At 56.8% G+C, this 14,577-nt stretch overlaps 1 protein-coding gene across 1 annotated transcript in view, besides 12 other annotated features; it reads left to right on the top strand.

The window, feature by feature from the left end:
- Window positions 2,083-2,282: a silencer, noted in NCBI's record as "silent region_13878". NCBI's record gives its function as "represses an Ori minimal core promoter by ATAC-STARR-seq in GM12878 lymphoblastoid cells {active_cell/tissue: GM12878}" and the evidence as "EXISTENCE:reporter gene assay evidence [ECO:0000049][PMID:35858748]".
- Window positions 2,313-2,372: a silencer, noted in NCBI's record as "silent region_13877". NCBI's record gives its function as "represses an Ori minimal core promoter by ATAC-STARR-seq in GM12878 lymphoblastoid cells {active_cell/tissue: GM12878}" and the evidence as "EXISTENCE:reporter gene assay evidence [ECO:0000049][PMID:35858748]".
- The window catches only part of KIAA0930, a 48,651-nt gene continuing 36,479 nt past the window's right edge, over window positions 2,406-14,577 (top strand). Inside the window, exon 1 of the mRNA NM_001009880.2 lies at window positions 2,406-2,660. Within this exon, the coding sequence (NP_001009880.1) occupies window positions 2,597-2,660 (64 nt within the window). The 5' untranslated portion in view covers window positions 2,406-2,596. The remainder of the gene's footprint in view (window positions 2,661-14,577) is intronic.
- Window positions 2,533-2,592: a silencer, noted in NCBI's record as "silent region_13876". NCBI's record gives its function as "represses an Ori minimal core promoter by ATAC-STARR-seq in GM12878 lymphoblastoid cells {active_cell/tissue: GM12878}" and the evidence as "EXISTENCE:reporter gene assay evidence [ECO:0000049][PMID:35858748]".
- Window positions 2,743-2,832: a silencer, noted in NCBI's record as "silent region_13875". NCBI's record gives its function as "represses an Ori minimal core promoter by ATAC-STARR-seq in GM12878 lymphoblastoid cells {active_cell/tissue: GM12878}" and the evidence as "EXISTENCE:reporter gene assay evidence [ECO:0000049][PMID:35858748]".
- Window positions 7,261-7,360: an enhancer, noted in NCBI's record as "active region_19220". NCBI's record gives its function as "activates an Ori minimal core promoter by ATAC-STARR-seq in GM12878 lymphoblastoid cells {active_cell/tissue: GM12878}" and the evidence as "EXISTENCE:reporter gene assay evidence [ECO:0000049][PMID:35858748]".
- Window positions 7,421-7,500: an enhancer, noted in NCBI's record as "active region_19219". NCBI's record gives its function as "activates an Ori minimal core promoter by ATAC-STARR-seq in GM12878 lymphoblastoid cells {active_cell/tissue: GM12878}" and the evidence as "EXISTENCE:reporter gene assay evidence [ECO:0000049][PMID:35858748]".
- Window positions 7,521-7,650: an enhancer, noted in NCBI's record as "active region_19218". NCBI's record gives its function as "activates an Ori minimal core promoter by ATAC-STARR-seq in GM12878 lymphoblastoid cells {active_cell/tissue: GM12878}" and the evidence as "EXISTENCE:reporter gene assay evidence [ECO:0000049][PMID:35858748]".
- Window positions 7,711-8,060: an enhancer, noted in NCBI's record as "active region_19217". NCBI's record gives its function as "activates an Ori minimal core promoter by ATAC-STARR-seq in GM12878 lymphoblastoid cells {active_cell/tissue: GM12878}" and the evidence as "EXISTENCE:reporter gene assay evidence [ECO:0000049][PMID:35858748]".
- Window positions 7,716-7,860: an enhancer, noted in NCBI's record as "145 bp 22:45631393 sequence used in MPRA reporter constructs". NCBI's record gives its function as "activates a minimal TATA-containing promoter with rs5766576 allelic activity by MPRAs in C283T melanocytes and UACC903 melanoma cells {active_cell/tissue: C283T | UACC903}" and the evidence as "EXISTENCE:reporter gene assay evidence [ECO:0000049][PMID:36423637]".
- Window position 7,788: a transcriptional cis regulatory region, noted in NCBI's record as "rs5766576 or 22:45631393 MPRA-significant variant associated with a GWAS melanoma risk locus at 22q13.31". NCBI's record gives its function as "allelic transcriptional activity by MPRAs in C283T melanocytes and UACC903 melanoma cells {active_cell/tissue: C283T | UACC903}" and the evidence as "EXISTENCE:reporter gene assay evidence [ECO:0000049][PMID:36423637]".
- Window positions 10,043-10,187: an enhancer, noted in NCBI's record as "145 bp 22:45629066 sequence used in MPRA reporter constructs". NCBI's record gives its function as "activates a minimal TATA-containing promoter with rs5766573 allelic activity by MPRAs in UACC903 melanoma cells {active_cell/tissue: UACC903}" and the evidence as "EXISTENCE:reporter gene assay evidence [ECO:0000049][PMID:36423637]".
- Window position 10,115: a transcriptional cis regulatory region, noted in NCBI's record as "rs5766573 or 22:45629066 MPRA-significant variant associated with a GWAS melanoma risk locus at 22q13.31". NCBI's record gives its function as "allelic transcriptional activity by MPRAs in UACC903 melanoma cells {active_cell/tissue: UACC903}" and the evidence as "EXISTENCE:reporter gene assay evidence [ECO:0000049][PMID:36423637]".

Below are 14,577 nucleotides of genomic sequence, written 5' to 3'. Positions count from 1 at the left end.
GAGCAAAACTCCGCCTCAAAAAAAAAAAAAAAAAAAAAGAAAGAAAGAAAATTCTGTGTATAGGTAATACCTGGAGTATTATTGAAATACAAAGGAGAGAGCCCAAGCGATGTTTGTTTACTCATTCATTCAACAGATATTTTTCTGGCACCAGTCCTGGGCTGGGTGCCACGGGAAGTGGGATGAATTGGTTCAATGCTGGTCATATGACACAGAATACACGGAGGCAACTGTGTGCAGGAGGGTGGGGTGGGGAAAGGGGGTTTGTGAAGCAAATAAGAACACAATGCATTGGCCAAGCGTAACCAGGCAATGTGGGTCCCAAAGGCAACTACAGTTGCGGAGCAGAAAGGATTTCAGGCCAAGGGAACACTGTGGGCAAACGCATGGCAGTGGGAACAGGCAGGGGGTGCTGTGGGGTTTGGGGAGGCAAAGAGGGATGTGACTATTGGACTTGACAGCCTTGGAGCACTCGCTCATGCTGTCTGATCCACCATCCCCAGTTCTCACGTCCACCAGCCCAAACCCCAGCTCTCCAGACGCAGAACCAGAGGCCTCAGCCCTCATGCCAGTGTCCTCACTTTACAGACAGGGATGCAGGCCCACTGGAGAAGAGAAATACACGTGAGGCTGGTCGCGCACTTCCTTCATTCCCTCACTGCTCACCTTTCTACAGAGCCCTCCTGGGCCTGGCACTGGGGACACAGAGGGGTCAGATGTGGCTCTGCTCTGAAGAGTTCAGGGGCCAGTGGCACAAAACTGGGGCAGAGGCCTGAAGCAGGATCCAGATCCCATCTCCCTTCTGGGGCTCTGCCCAACCCCACGGCTCCTTCCTGCTGTGCCTCCCAGGAAGACCCCTGCGTCCCCATCAGACCTCTCCATCATTCTTCGTTTATGCAGCCTACATTTTTTTTTCTTTTCTTTTCTTTTTTTTTGGGGGGGGACAGGGTCTTGCTCTGTCTCCCAGCTTGGAGTGCAGTGGCGGGATCTCGGCTCACTGCAGCCTCCGCCTCCCAGGTTCAAGCAATTCTCCTGCCTCAGCCTCCAGAGTAGCTGGGATTACAAATGTGTGCTACCATGCCCGGCTAATTTTTGTATTTTTAGTAGAGATGGGGTTTCACCATTTTAGCCAGGCTGTTCTGGAACTCCTAACCTCAGGCAATCCACCTACCTCGGCCTCCCAAAGTGTTGGGATTACAGGCATGAGCCACTGTGCCCAGCCTGCAGCCCATATCTATTTATTGGGCATCTAATGTGTGCCAGGCAATGTTCTGGGTACTGAGACAACAGCTGTGTAGTAGACAGGCCCCTCCCTCGGTAGAGAAGAGAACAAGTGAACCCATAGGTATCCAATGTGTCGGGAGGAGGTAAGTGTCACCCTGTGAAGGAGAAACAGACTAAGGGAAGAGAGAGGGAGGGAAGGCGGTCAGGGGAGTTTCTTTGAGGATGTGACACTCGGGACACAAAGGAAGCAAGTTACACAGGAATGGGGAGAAGAGGACTCCAGACAGGGGAAAGGGGGACCTTGATGGGTCTGGGGTCCACACACAGGCTGTGAATGCAGGGAGTGATGTAGATTTAGCTTTGGAGAGACCTGGAAATCAATGCTGGTCTCTCCATCTCCCCCTGTTCTTGGAAATGGACCACCAGGCGTGAGGTTTGGGGAGGCCACTGGCTGCTTCTCCGGTGTCTTCCTGTATCAGCCACAACTAGCACACGGAGGGATGCTGGCCAGACCTGGCTTCATCAGGATGACACGCCCAGCTAACCTCATACCTCCCCCTTCATCAACACTCCCCCATGTTGGGGAGGCAAGGCAGGGAAAGGTCCCCCATGGTGCAGCTGAGGAAATGGAGGCGCAACACTCTGCACTGTGCCAGGTGCAGAGGAGGGGGGCCGGAAGGGCTTTGCCACGGTGTCCCCCAGGAGACCACCTTCTGGGAGCAGGTGACCTCTTGAGGGGTTCTGCGGAGGAAGTTCCCAGAAGTCAGCCGAGGGGACTTGGTGGAGGTGGCAACGCACAGGGCGGGTGACAAAGTACACATCCCGTGGGGTAGCAGCGGGGGAGGGGAGAGGTGCCCTGAAGGGGCGGCGGGAGGGGCTCAGAGGCGTGATCCCGTTGGTGGGGCGTTTAGGACCTTGGGTGGAGGCGGGACCCCGCGAGCGGTTTGAGGGAGGCTGTCCTGGGCATCCGAAGATTGGCGGAGACTGGCCGTTTGGAAGTGGGCGGGGCAAGGGAGGTCAGGGGGCGGGGCCAGGGAGCCGGGGTGGGTCCGGGCCGTTCAGAGGCGGGGCGGGAGGGGACAGGGGCGGGGCCGGGGCGGGGAAGGGGCGGGGCCGGACCGGGGCCGGGCCGGGCCGGGGCGGGGCGAGCGGAGCCGGGGGCGCGCGGGCGGCGGCGGCGCGGAGGTGCGCTCGCCGGTGCTGTGTTTGGCGGGTGGTGGCGGCGGCGGCGGCGACGGCGACGCGCACAGAGGCGGACTGTGGCTTCCTTGGTGCTCGCGGCGGGCTGCGGGCCGGGCCGCCCGCCCTCCCCGCCGCCGCCGCCCCCGAGCCTGCGGGCGGCGCCGAGGCCGAGGAGCGCTCGCTGCAGCACATGCTGCGTGCCATAGCGGAGGAGCGCGGCCGTCTTAGCCTGCGCCGCGAGGTCTGCGGCCTCGGTGAGTGGGACCCGGGGGCGAGGCCGGGCCGGGAGAGGTGAGCGTCTCCGGGGCCGCCTCTGCGCGTCCGTGTTTCTGTGCGCCCCGCGCATCTCTGTCTCTGCGCGGGTGTCGTGGTCTCTGGGTCTGCCTGGGTACCCTGTCTTCCTCCATGGCCCCCCCCCCACCGTCCCTGCATCTGGGTCTGTCTCTGCTTTCCGTCCGACGAGCGCCCCGCACCCCTGTGCCCGGGTCTCATTCGGCGTCTCCCCCTGTCAGTCCGTCCGGGTGTCTGTCTCATCTTCCTCCTTCTTCTTCGTGTCTCTGCGGGTCTTCTTCCTTCTCCAGGAAGCCCGCCCCGGGCCCTCAGCACCGCGGTAGGGAGTGTGGGCGTGGGATCTGGGTACACCCTTAGCCCAGCGCGGCAGGGTCGGGCCCTCGTTGGGCTCTGGGTGGACCTCGCTGCGAGCGTGCCCTGGCCACTGTCTCCTGCTACCCGAAGCCTTTGTCTTTCCGCACCCACCGGCCCCTCTCATCCCTTAGCTGTATCCAGGGACCTGTTGGGCAATGGCCCCCCGAACCCGCCCGCTTGGCTGAGGGGCAGGGCCTGCTGCCTCTCGGTGTGATTCTGGGCTTTAAGTCATGGATCTGCTGGGGGGCGTGGGATGGGGGTGCCTCGTATTGTTTGGAAGGGCCTGGGACTGCAGGTGTGGGTGGGGTCTCCCAGCCAGTGAGGTAATCCATTACTGATGGATCATGCCCAGACTGAAGCCCAGGAGAAGCCCCCTCTTTTGTCGTCTCAGGTTCGTCATTTTCTCCATGGAAAAGACCCCTCCCTCCTCCGTGCAGGGAATGACTTCATACCACATTGTCAGCCACCCCCCACCCCACCCCCAGGCTAGGCTGGGGATTTCTGAGGGGGTGACAGCATTGCTGAGTACGGAATGTCAGCCTTCCAGATTCACCCCTTCATTCACCGTTGGGGAAACTGAGTCCCAGAGAACAAGTGCATCCCCCTAAGGTCACACAGCTGCAGGGACATGGCAGTCCCAGGCATTCAGGGCCCCTCAGCAGGCCACACCCTGGAGGCTGGAGTGGAGAGAGGAAGTAAATTTGAATCCCTTTTGTAGGAGGCAGGCTTAGCATGGGAGGCTTCCCAGTGAGCAGGCCCCAGCCTAGCCTGCCCAGGCGAGCCTTTCCTCATGCAGGGGTGGGGTGGGGGGTGCTTATGAAGTGAAATGGACAAGAACTTCAATGGTTGACAAGGTTTCAATGGTTTCTTTCTGAAAAGGTGTCAAGATTTACTTTTGAGCAGAAGTTGGAGCGTGCTTATTCATTCATTCTGCAAACATTCATTGAGCACCTACTGTGTGCCACCGTGGCAGGCCCACCTGTCAGCTGGCACCGAATATCTGAGCTGGGATGCATCTGAAGGACCATCTGCTGCAGGTCACTTGGCCCTGTTTGCTCAGCAGCTTCAAGCAGTCCCTCCCCACTCCCCTGTCCACACACACCTATTGTCCTCTGACCACCTTTACCTGTGAGCACCTTCTCTCCTCTTCTAGGCAGCCCCTCCCGCAAGGAGGCTGCAGGGCCATTCCCAGAAGAACAGTGAACAGTGAAAATGGCACCTAGCATTTACTGAGCACTTACTATGTGCCGGGTGCTTTACTCATGCTGCAAATTTAATCCTGACACAATGCTGACTTTGCCAGGGAGCAGTATTATCTCCATATCAGCGATGAAGAGCCTGAGGGTGAGAGAGAGAGAGAGAGAGAGAGAGAGCCTGCCCAGGGACAACCAATGAGGAAGCAGCATAGCAGCATAGCCGGGACTGACCCTCTGCCAGCCTGACCTCAGAGCCTGCCCTCCACTCCCTGAATATCCCCAGCCAGGTCTTTATGTGCCTACGATACTCACGCTGTTTCCTTGTCTCTTCTCCAGGCCTCCCGCACGTGCCAGGTCTCCCCTCTTCCCCTGCTGCTGAACTCAGTCCCTGCAGGGCTCTGAAGCAGAGAAAACCTGCTGTTTTCTCTGCCCGGAAAGCCGCCCCTACTCATGTGCCCCACAAGCATCTCTAAGTTTTCCTTTAAGTCTCAGCTCCAGTGTTGCCTCTCCGGGAACTCTTTCCAGCTCCCAGGCACACAGTCCTGTTCTGCCTGTGTTCTCTTTGTGCCAGGCACATGTTTGTTGGGACAATCAGGATGATTGTGGCCTTGTCATGGTCTGTGTGCTGTCTCCCCAGTTAGCAGGTGAGGCCTTCAAAGGCATTACCCAGTCTGATTCATCTTGGTGCCCAGCATGGGGCACATACGGAGCAGGTGCCCAGTAAACATTTAGTGAACAAGTGAGAAAATTATTATCTGGACTGGCAGATGAAGGGCGTGGAGGGCCACGGAGATGGGAATCTTAGCTTCTTAGAAGGCCTCATTTTTGGCCGGGCGTGGTGGCTCATGCCTGTAATCCCAACCCTTTGGGAGGCTGAGGCGGGCGGATCATGAGGTCAGGAGTTTGAGACCAGCCTGGCTAACATGAGGAAACCCCCGTCTCTACTAAAAATACAAAAAAAAAAATTAGCCAGGCGTGGTGGCGGGCGCCTATAGTCGCAGCTACTCAGGAGGCTGAGACAAGAGAATGGTGTGAACCCGGGAGGCGGAGGTTGCAGTGAGCCGAGATCACGCCACTGCACTCCAGCCTGGGCTACAGAGTGAGACTCTGTCTCAAAAAAAAAAAAAAGGGCTCATTTTTCAGATGAGAGATTTGATGTTCAGCGAGGGGTGAGCTTACTAGGAACTTGATGCCCAGAGTGGAGCGCACCTCTCACCTCTCAGGTGTGAGTCCTGAGAGGAGCCAGAACACCAGCCCCGGAGCACTTCTGCGTCCACTGAATCATCAACACTCTCAAGCTGTGGGGGCAGGGTTGTGTTTGATCATCTCCACTTCACCTCTGTGACAGCCTGTTAGATTTATGAATGAATTTAAATCTCCCAGATTTTTGTTGTTGTTTAGCAAAAGCTTGGGTTACTCAGAAACCTGCTGTGTCCTCTGACGTTGTTTTGAAGGTGTCAAGGGAGCCTCAGGTGGAGGCGCTGGGCTTTGGTTGAGTGGTTGTCATTCTCTGAGTCAGTGTCTGTCTCTGAGATGGGACTAAGCTCCTGGCCCTCCTCACTCAGGGGTCATCGCTCAGCTCTCGTGATGAAAGGCACCTTGTAGATTTCACATCTGGCTTTTGAGGCTTGTCTGTGGCAGCCTCTGCAGTAGAAGGGGAGTTGAGCACTTGCTCTGTACTGAGAGGGGGCGGGAGTGTTGGGCCCTGATCCCTGCCTTGTGGGAGGGCACAGTCCATGGGGGAGACAGCCAGGAGCACAGGTCACTGTTAGCTGAAGTACAAACCCTGCTGGAAGCAGTGGGGCTGCGGCTGCCCGGAGCAAGATTTTGGTGTTGCATCCACAGGACACTGCTCATGACTCCAGGTCACAGATGAACCAGGTGATTCAGGACCCAGGTGTGCGATGCAGACATTTGGACTGAAGGGGGACAAACCCTGCCACTTCTTCCCGGGGCTTGGGCCTTCTCCTGGGCCCTGGGCCTCAGCCCAAGCACACAGGCTCCCTTTCAACAGGGGCAGCCCACCCGACAGTTGGTCAGGTAACGTGGACGCGACCTGGGCCCAAGACCTGGTGTGAGTCCTGAGAGGTGCCGTGAGCAGGTGGGACCCACATCCGGCTGCTTGTCTCTGTGCCCTGCCTCAGCTGAGCATTCTTGGAGCAATTTGTGCCTGGCATTTGGGGCTAAGGGATTCTCCCTGTGTCCGGAGTGGTGCAGAGAAGGGGCATTTTATGTTCATTCTTTCCTTTTGTCTTTGGAGTAATCCTGTGGGCTAGACATTGTTCTGTTCTTCTCTTTGTCCTGATGAGGGAACACAGGTTGGGGGGAAGTAAGGTGCCCCCAGCTGCAAGGCTAGGAAGTGGCCGAATCTTGCTGAGCCCAAGCTCTTAATTGCTTAACCCTGCGCAGAGGTGAGGCCCACCTAGACCCGTCCTCAGGGTGCTGAGGGTATGGTGTTCCAGGTTGTGTGGCAGCCTGGCCACAGTGGATGGAGGCAGGACCCCAGTGGAGCTGTGAACACTTAGCCAGAGGCCACAGAGAATGGAGCCACCAGCGTGGCCCATGGGAGGGGTTTGTGGACAGCGTAGTCTTCAAGCAGGGCTGAGGCTGGATGGGCTTGTGTGGATGGAGGAGCAGAAGCTCACTTTGCTCTAAGCAGGGCTGTATAAGTCGAGGCTGGAGTAATCCCTGGCTCAGAACTTGGTATTTCCCAGCCCTGGCCTCGGGAAGCCCTGCAGGTGTGATTTGTGGGGCGGCTGCACGGGAGGGGCCATCAGTGCAGAGGATGCTGCGTGCCTGCCGCGAGCCGGTGCCTAACACCTGCCGCGTTTCCTTCAGTCCTGCTCCCGGAGAGGTGGGTTCTGTCTTGACCTCATTCTGCAGGTGAGGAAGCTGAGCTTCAGCGTGGGGAGGGATGTACCCACAGCCACGTAGCTGGCAGGTGGCAGGGCTGCCATTCCAGCTGAGGCCCATCATGTGCAAATAGCCAACCCGGAAGGGTTCGTGGAATGGGCCAGAGGAGTGAGGGAGACGGCCTTGCCTCTGTGCTGAACACCTGTGTGTGCTAGGCCTGCGAATGGGGAAGAGCGCTGTGCACCCTTCACCTCCCCCAACCCGCCATCACTTTGCTAGGCCAGGTGTAGCTGGGCATAAGTGATGGGGGCCGGGGGGCCTTTAGTGGGAGGTGCCGCTGGAAAGGAAGACTGTGAGCCCTGGCTAAGCACTCCAGCCCTCGGGCCTCAGTGTCCTCATCTGTAGACTGGAGACCACAAATTCTCTAGGGACTTAGGGATTGTATGAGAGAAGTGACAGGGAGTAAATGAGACGTGGCAGGTACAGGCTCAGCACAAATCCCTGGTGTGGAGTCGGGTGCAGTCCAGGCTGCTGTTATTATCCAGGATACAAAGCACCTGGCGCAGTGCCTGCACGTGGAATCAGGGTTGTATTTATGCCCCGACGCTCGGGCTGCTTTGAGTCAATGCGGAAGCTCTCCCTGCACTCCTTGGGGCCCTCCAACCCCACAGCAGTCAGAGCTAGTTGTGGGCCAGCGCAGCGGGGAGGAAGTGTGGCCGTGTGGCATGGCAGCAGAGCCTCTTTCGGTTCCTGGGCCTATTTTAAGGGTTGTGGGTTCCGGCCTCTACCCGTTCCTGGGACTGGAGCAGCCCAGGAGGCCCTCTCCTGAGGCTGAGACTCTGTGTCCTTCCGGACGGAACCTGAGGACGCTGGACCCTACAGTTTAAAGAGGCCGAGGACCACAGCTGCATGGACATCTTTGCAGCGGCCGCATAGGCACCACTGGCCTGGGTAAGAATGCTGTGCTGCCCTGCTCAGGGGCCTTGGGGAGTCATTTCCGCCTCCAGCTTCCAGCCTTCTGCAGAGGAACTTCCATGGCATGAGCCGTCCCCTCACTGTCCTGGGTCTCCTTGCCTCCTTCATCGAGCTGGGGAGGCTTGTGTCAGCCACACCACTAGGCTGCTGTAAAGAAGCCCCAAGCAGGAGACTTGTTAACATCCTCAGATTTCCCAAACACATTTTTTTCTAATTAAAAAAAAAGTCACATGCACATTACGGAAACTAGAAAATAGGAAACAATTATGCCTAGTTCCAATTACCCAGAGACACACCATTAACTTTGCAAAGTCCTGCCCTCTGATCTTTCCAGAGGTTTTTAAAAGAGTACTTGATCTTCTCTATGCAGGTTTCTTAATCACGCTTTTTCATTTAAGGTTCCTAACACATTTCCCATGTTGCTCAGACTCCAAACATTAAATGCCTGCTCGAGAGTTGGGTGGGCAATGCCGTGATTTACTTAATTGGTCTCATGTGGTTGGAAACATAGCTGGGATCCAGTTTTCACTGTTAGAAATAACTTGCAGCAAAGCTTTTTATACGTGCAAAGGTGTCTGTATTTGGATTATGTCTTTAAGCTGGCCACCTGGGAGGCCATTTCTTGGAGGCTGCTGTGTGACCCCCAAGGGCAGGGGTAGGACCGTAGGTGGTAGACGGGTGTTCACGGGGCTGAAGGAGAACCCTTTTAGTTAGCTTGTGTGGACTAGGAAGGAAGGTGAGCCACAGAAGGTAGTGATGGGCGTCCCTGCTGAGGGCATGCAGGGAGCTGAGAAAGGATCCAGCCTCAGACTAGACTTTGGGCCCATGCCTTGCCAGTCTGTGATCCTCCAACCTTGTCTTCTTACCTGAGAGCTCTCCCCCTGGCGTTTCAGGCTTGTCTTCCCCGAGCAGGAAGCAGAGGCCCCCTCTTCCCCATCGGAGGACCATGAGGCCTGGGAGCTGAGCCCTGAGCACAGGCCAGGCCAGCTCCCCAACGGCACCCACACGCACACTGACCTTCCACTCCTGGTCACCCCTCACTGCAGGCCACCCCAGCTTGCCGGGCCTCAGAGACAACAGAGACGTTTGCCCCTCAGGGTCAGTACATGTGCCCGGCCTCTGCCAAGGCCCCCGGGTCTCAGAATTCAACCAGCCTCTCCCTGTCACTGCTGTAGACAGGAGCTCTGCAAGCCCCAGTCCAGGCTCTCCCGCTAAGGGTTCTGTGGGATTGGGGAAGCCCTGGTGCATAGCTGCAGCTCCTGTGCAGCCCCAGCCCCGCTCTTCTGTCTTCTGGAGGCCCTTGTCCCTCTGGACCTCTGATCCCTCCTGCATGCGGTGCTGGGCTAGGCAGGGCCAAGCGGGACTTGTAAACAATACGTCATCTAATATCATAACCCCTGTCAGGTAGGAGTTAGCCCGTGTCTTACAGGGATGAAGCAGAGGCTCAGAGGGTTGAGTAGACCTTCCCTCGGTCATTTCCAGCAGCTTGGGTCTGGTGCACTCAGCTTCCTAAGAGGGCAGAGCTCACTGCCTATCACCCAAACCCGGCTGTCCTGCCCACCCTCCCAGCGTCCTGAGAGCAGCCACCAGGTCCCCTGGTGAGTCAGCCTAGTGAAGGTCCTGCCACCCGGGTGGGCACCCGGGCTGTTCTGCAGCTGAAGTAGAAGCGTGTTTTGACTGGATGTGATTTCCCACTTTCCAGGTGATGCCCGCCTCTGGGCCTTTATGGCTGTGGCTGCTGTGCTGAGGGGAGCTTTCCCACCCAGGCCTACCGACTCCTTGGAAGTGGGGCTGCATGCCCTGCGTGGCCTGTGCTGGGGAACTCGGCCTAGCACCTGTGCTTACCCGTTCCACTTGAACCTCAGCCTCCACTCCTTAGAACACCTCGCCTGCCTCAGTCTGCCCACCCTGTACCACACCGTGTCCAGAGCACAGAACCCTGGGGAACTTTAAAACAAAATGCCCATTCCTTCCCCCGACCTGGGCATCTGAGTGAAAGTCCTCCTGGGGGGCCCTGGAGTCTGTGGTGTAATTCATTCGTTCCCTCTGTCTGGGTGTGTCAGCCTGAGTTGGTGGCCACTGGGCTGTCTGTTTACCACCCCTGCCCCCATGTGATAGATGGGGCCACTGAGGCTCAGAAGCAGGAGGGACTGGCTGTGATGCCTTCCTCCACCTTCCTGATCTGGCCTGCTCCCAGCCACCTGTCCTTGGATCCACCTGAGCCCCAACAGCATGAACCTTAATGTCATCGACATTGACACCTGGCGGGGGTGGGTGGGAAAATTAACACTCCACGGGGTCCCTTCCTCACCCCCAGAGATACCTGTGCCCCTGAGTCAAAGCCGAACTCTGCACATCAGGGAAACGGAGGCTGAGGTCACATACAGAGCCCTGGCTCAGCCCCACCACATGGAGAGGCGGTGGGCCAGCCTCCCCTGGAGCCGGTCCCCACCCAGCCCACTCTGCAGGATGGGCATTCTCCTGGGAGAAGATGTGACTCCAGGCTTCCTGTGCCTGATGAGCTCTACCCTCCCAAGGTAGGGGGGCAGTTTGCTCCCAGTGTCCCAGTTTCGGCTGAGGCAGCAGAATGCCCTCTGGGTCACAGCCCGTCCTGGGGGAGCTGGGATGGAGAGAGTCCCAGAATTCAACCAGCCTAGCCCTATCACTGACACAGACAGGGGAGACTCAGAGTGGACCCCGACTGTCTCAAACAGGGTGAAGAATCAGGAGGGCTGGCTGCCTGATCTCACCAGTGCTGCCTCTTGCCCCGTGGTGCAAGTGAGGAGACCGAGGCAGGTGAACAACAGGCAGAGTTCCCTTACTCCACGTGTCCATTATCTTTAATGTAAAAGGGCTTTGTATTGGGATGTGCTTTGAATCTTGAAAAATGCTTTTCACACTTGGAGCAACACTTATGGCAGAGAAAGGGAGAAAAGCAGAATACAAATCCACATGTTATGAAGCGTGTGGATTATCCATGTAATTATAATAGAGAAGTGCTGCCCTGCACACCCTCGTGTGTCCTCACAGCAGTGCTGAGCAGAAGGCAGGAGGGGTGTTGTCCCATTTACAGAGGGGGACCAGGCCTCAGAGTGATAGGTGGACCTGGGGTGAGGTGGCCTTGGACTAGGCTTCTCCCTTCTGGTTCTTTCTGAAACCTTGCTTCATAGGCACCTTTCCAGCAACAACAGCCATTCAAGACCCTTGTGCCTGTTAATTTTGTTTGTTTGTTTTGAGAGGGAGTCTCGCTCTGTCACCCAGGCTGTAGTGCAGTGGCGCGATCTCGGCTCACTGCAAGCTCCGCCTCCCAGGTTCACGCCATTCTCCTGCCTCAGCCTCCCGAGTAGCTGGGACTACAGGCACCCGCCACCACACCAGCTAATTTTTCGTATTTTTAGTAGAGACGGGGTTTCACCATGTTAGGATGGTCTTGATCTCCTGACCTTGTGATCCACCTGCCTCGGCCTCCCAAAGTGCTGGGATTACAGGCATAAGCCACTGCGCCTGGTGTGCCTGTTAATTTCTTACCTTCTCTGCAGTTTTTACCCCTGTCTGAGTGTACATTTTTATGTATTTGTAGTCACCATTGTGTCATTTGTGGAGGTCATATATATTGAACCCTGGAAATGCAGTGCTGAATTAGGGTTGATCTGACTCTTGGGAGCTTGGCCCTCCCTGGGGAGGGGGTGGTGGCAGGCAGGTACAGGCTGATTGTTCATGCCTCTGGCTTCCCACCCCTGCCTCTGTATCCTGTTCACACACATCGCTGGGACAAGCCCAGACATCCCTCGGATCTTCAGGCCCCACTGCCAATGTAGGAGGTGAAAACTATCTTTCTTCCCATCTTAGGTTCATGGCTGAGGTTCCTATAACAAAAGGCAGAAGAGAGAAAAGTATAATTTAGTGTAAGTTTTACATGATACAGGAGCCTTCATAAGGAAGTGAAAATCCAAAGAAATGGGCTCAACCTGTGTATTTTCTTTCTTTTTTTTTTTTTTTTTCTGAGACGGAGTCTCAGATCTTGGCTCACTGCAACCTCTGCCTCCTGGGTTCAAGCGATTCTCCTGCCTCGGCTTCCTGAGTAGCTGGGATTATAGGCGGCCACCACCATGCCTGGCTGATTTTTATGTATTTTTAGTAGAGAGATGGGGTTTCACCATGTTGGTCAGGCTGGTCTTGAACTCCTGGCCTCAGGTGATCCATCTGCCTCAGTCTCCCAAAGTGCTGGGATTACAGGTATGTTGAGGCACCGTGCCCAGCCTCAACCTGTTTATTTTCTATGCTAGGTTTGATAAAGAAGTGGGTCATTGTGGAGGAGTCTGACTGGATAAAGAAGTGTGATCTGGGCTGGGCGACGTGGCTCACGCCTGTAATCCCAGCACTTTGGGAGGCCAAGGTGGGTGGATCACAAGGTCAGGAGCTCGAGACCAGCCTGGCCAACATTGTGAAACCCCGTCTCTACTAAAAATCTAAAAATTAGCCGGGTGTGGTGGCAGGTGCCTGTAATCCCAGCTACTCAAGAGGCTGAGGCAGGAGAATTGCATGAACCCGGGAGGCGGAGGTTGCAGTGAACCAAGATTGCGCCACTGTACTCTAGCTTGGGTGACAGAGCAAGACATCGTCTCAAAAAAAAAAAAAAAAAAAGAATGTGATCTGGGGTAATAAACTGGGGGCACTTAGCAAGGCCTGTTTGTTGAGATTCTTCTCTCAACTAATTGCTGTGTCTTCAGAGATGAGGATGCTCTTTTCCTCCGGACATAGAGAGGGTGCCTTTCACATGAGGGTCTCATGACCTGCTTCAGGGAGAAGGGCAGAGGGAGGGTGAGAGAGACCTTCCTGCTTCTGCTATTTTCTCAAGTGCCAGCGTGTCGTATTTTGGGGTAACGTGGCCTGAACCCTATCACCAACTGCCCTGGGACATCTGCTCCCACCTGTATGTGTCTCGGGTGCCTCCAGCTCAGCCTGACCAAGACGTGACTCGCTGCCCGCCCTGTGTCTGCTCTCCCCTGCACTCCTCAGCCGCAGGCCAAGAGTCAGCCCTCCCTTGCCCCTCAGCCAGCTGTGGCTGAGGTCCAGGCTGTGCCTGGGCTGTCTCCTCTCCCCACCTGCATTGTCCCATATGTCCCCATGTGGCTGTTCCTGTCACTGTCACCCAGGCTGGAGTGCAGTGGCATAATCTCGGCTCACTGCGCCCTCCGCCCCCTGGGTTCGAGTGATTCTCCTGCCTCAGCCTCCTGAGTAGCTGAGATTACAGGTGCCTGCCACCATGCCTGGCTCATTTTTTTGTATTTTTCGTAGAGACAGGGTTTTGCCATGTTGGCCAGGCTGGTCTTGAACTCCTGACCTCAGGTGATCCACCCGCCTTGGCCTCCCAAAGTGTTGAGATTACAGGCATGAGCCACTGCACCTGGCCCACGTTCACACCTTTAAGAACCTCTTGATGTCTGCCAGGCATATAGTCCAAGACCCTTGGTGACCTGCCCCAGCTGACCCCCTGAGCCCCAGCCGTAAGACTTGTTGGAGGGGGTTTCCCGAGGTCCCCTCCACACTTGGCCTGGAATCACCCTCCTCAACCCGTTGTTGGCGGAGAGGGGGGCCCTTGGCTCTAGGGCCCTTCTGTGGCCTCTTCCTGACCCGTTGGTGGAATCAGCCACTGCTACCCTTGTTCTTGGTGCCACCTGTCAATTCCTGCCCCTGTGCTGTGACACTGCGTAGTCCCTCGTGTGTGGCTCCTGTCCCTCTCCCACCTGAGCTCCCCTCCACGGCTCTGACTTTTCATCCCTCGCACCAGCTCAGAGACGGATGCCTGGGCGCAGGCCCCTGGGAGTGACAGGAGGAGCTGCCTAGGCGCGCGTTTGGTGATGGGGGAGTGGAGAGGGATCTTTCCGGTGAGTGGTGGTGGGGATGTGGAGAGGGATCTTTCAGGTGAGTGGTGATGGCGGGGGTGGAGAGGGATCTCTCAAGTGAGTGGTGGTTGGGGGGTGGAGAGGGATCTTTCGGGTGAGTGTTTGGTGGTGGGGGGGATGGGGAGGGATCTTTCGGGTGACTGGTGGTGCCGGGGGTGGAGAGGGATCTCTCAGGTGAGTGTTTGGTGGTTGGGGGGTGGAGAGGGATCTCTCGGGTGAGTGTTTGGTGGTTGGGGGGTGGAGAGGGATCTTTCGGGTGAGTGTTTGGTGGTGGGGGGGTGGAGAGGGATCTTTCGGGTGAGTGTTTGGTGGTGTGGGGGTGGAGAGGGATCTTTTGGGTGAGTGGTGATGGCGGGGGTGGAGAGGGATCTCTCAGGTGAGTGGTTGGGGGGTGGAGAGGGATCTTTCGGGTGAGTGGTTGGGGGGATGGGGAGGGATCTTTCGGGTGAGTGGTGGTTGGGGGGTGAAGAGGGATCTTTCGGGTGAGTGGTGATGGCGGGGGTGGAGAGGGATCTCTCAGGTGAGTGTTTGGTGGTTGGGGGGGATGGGGAGGGATCTTTCGGGTGAGTGGTGGTAGGGGGGTGGAGAGGGATCTT

The sequence above is a fragment of the Homo sapiens genome, chromosome 22 (genome assembly GCF_000001405.40).
Source record: "Homo sapiens chromosome 22, GRCh38.p14 Primary Assembly".
NCBI lineage: Eukaryota > Metazoa > Chordata > Mammalia > Primates > Hominidae > Homo > Homo sapiens.
This window is presented reverse-complemented; position numbering and strand designations above follow the sequence as displayed.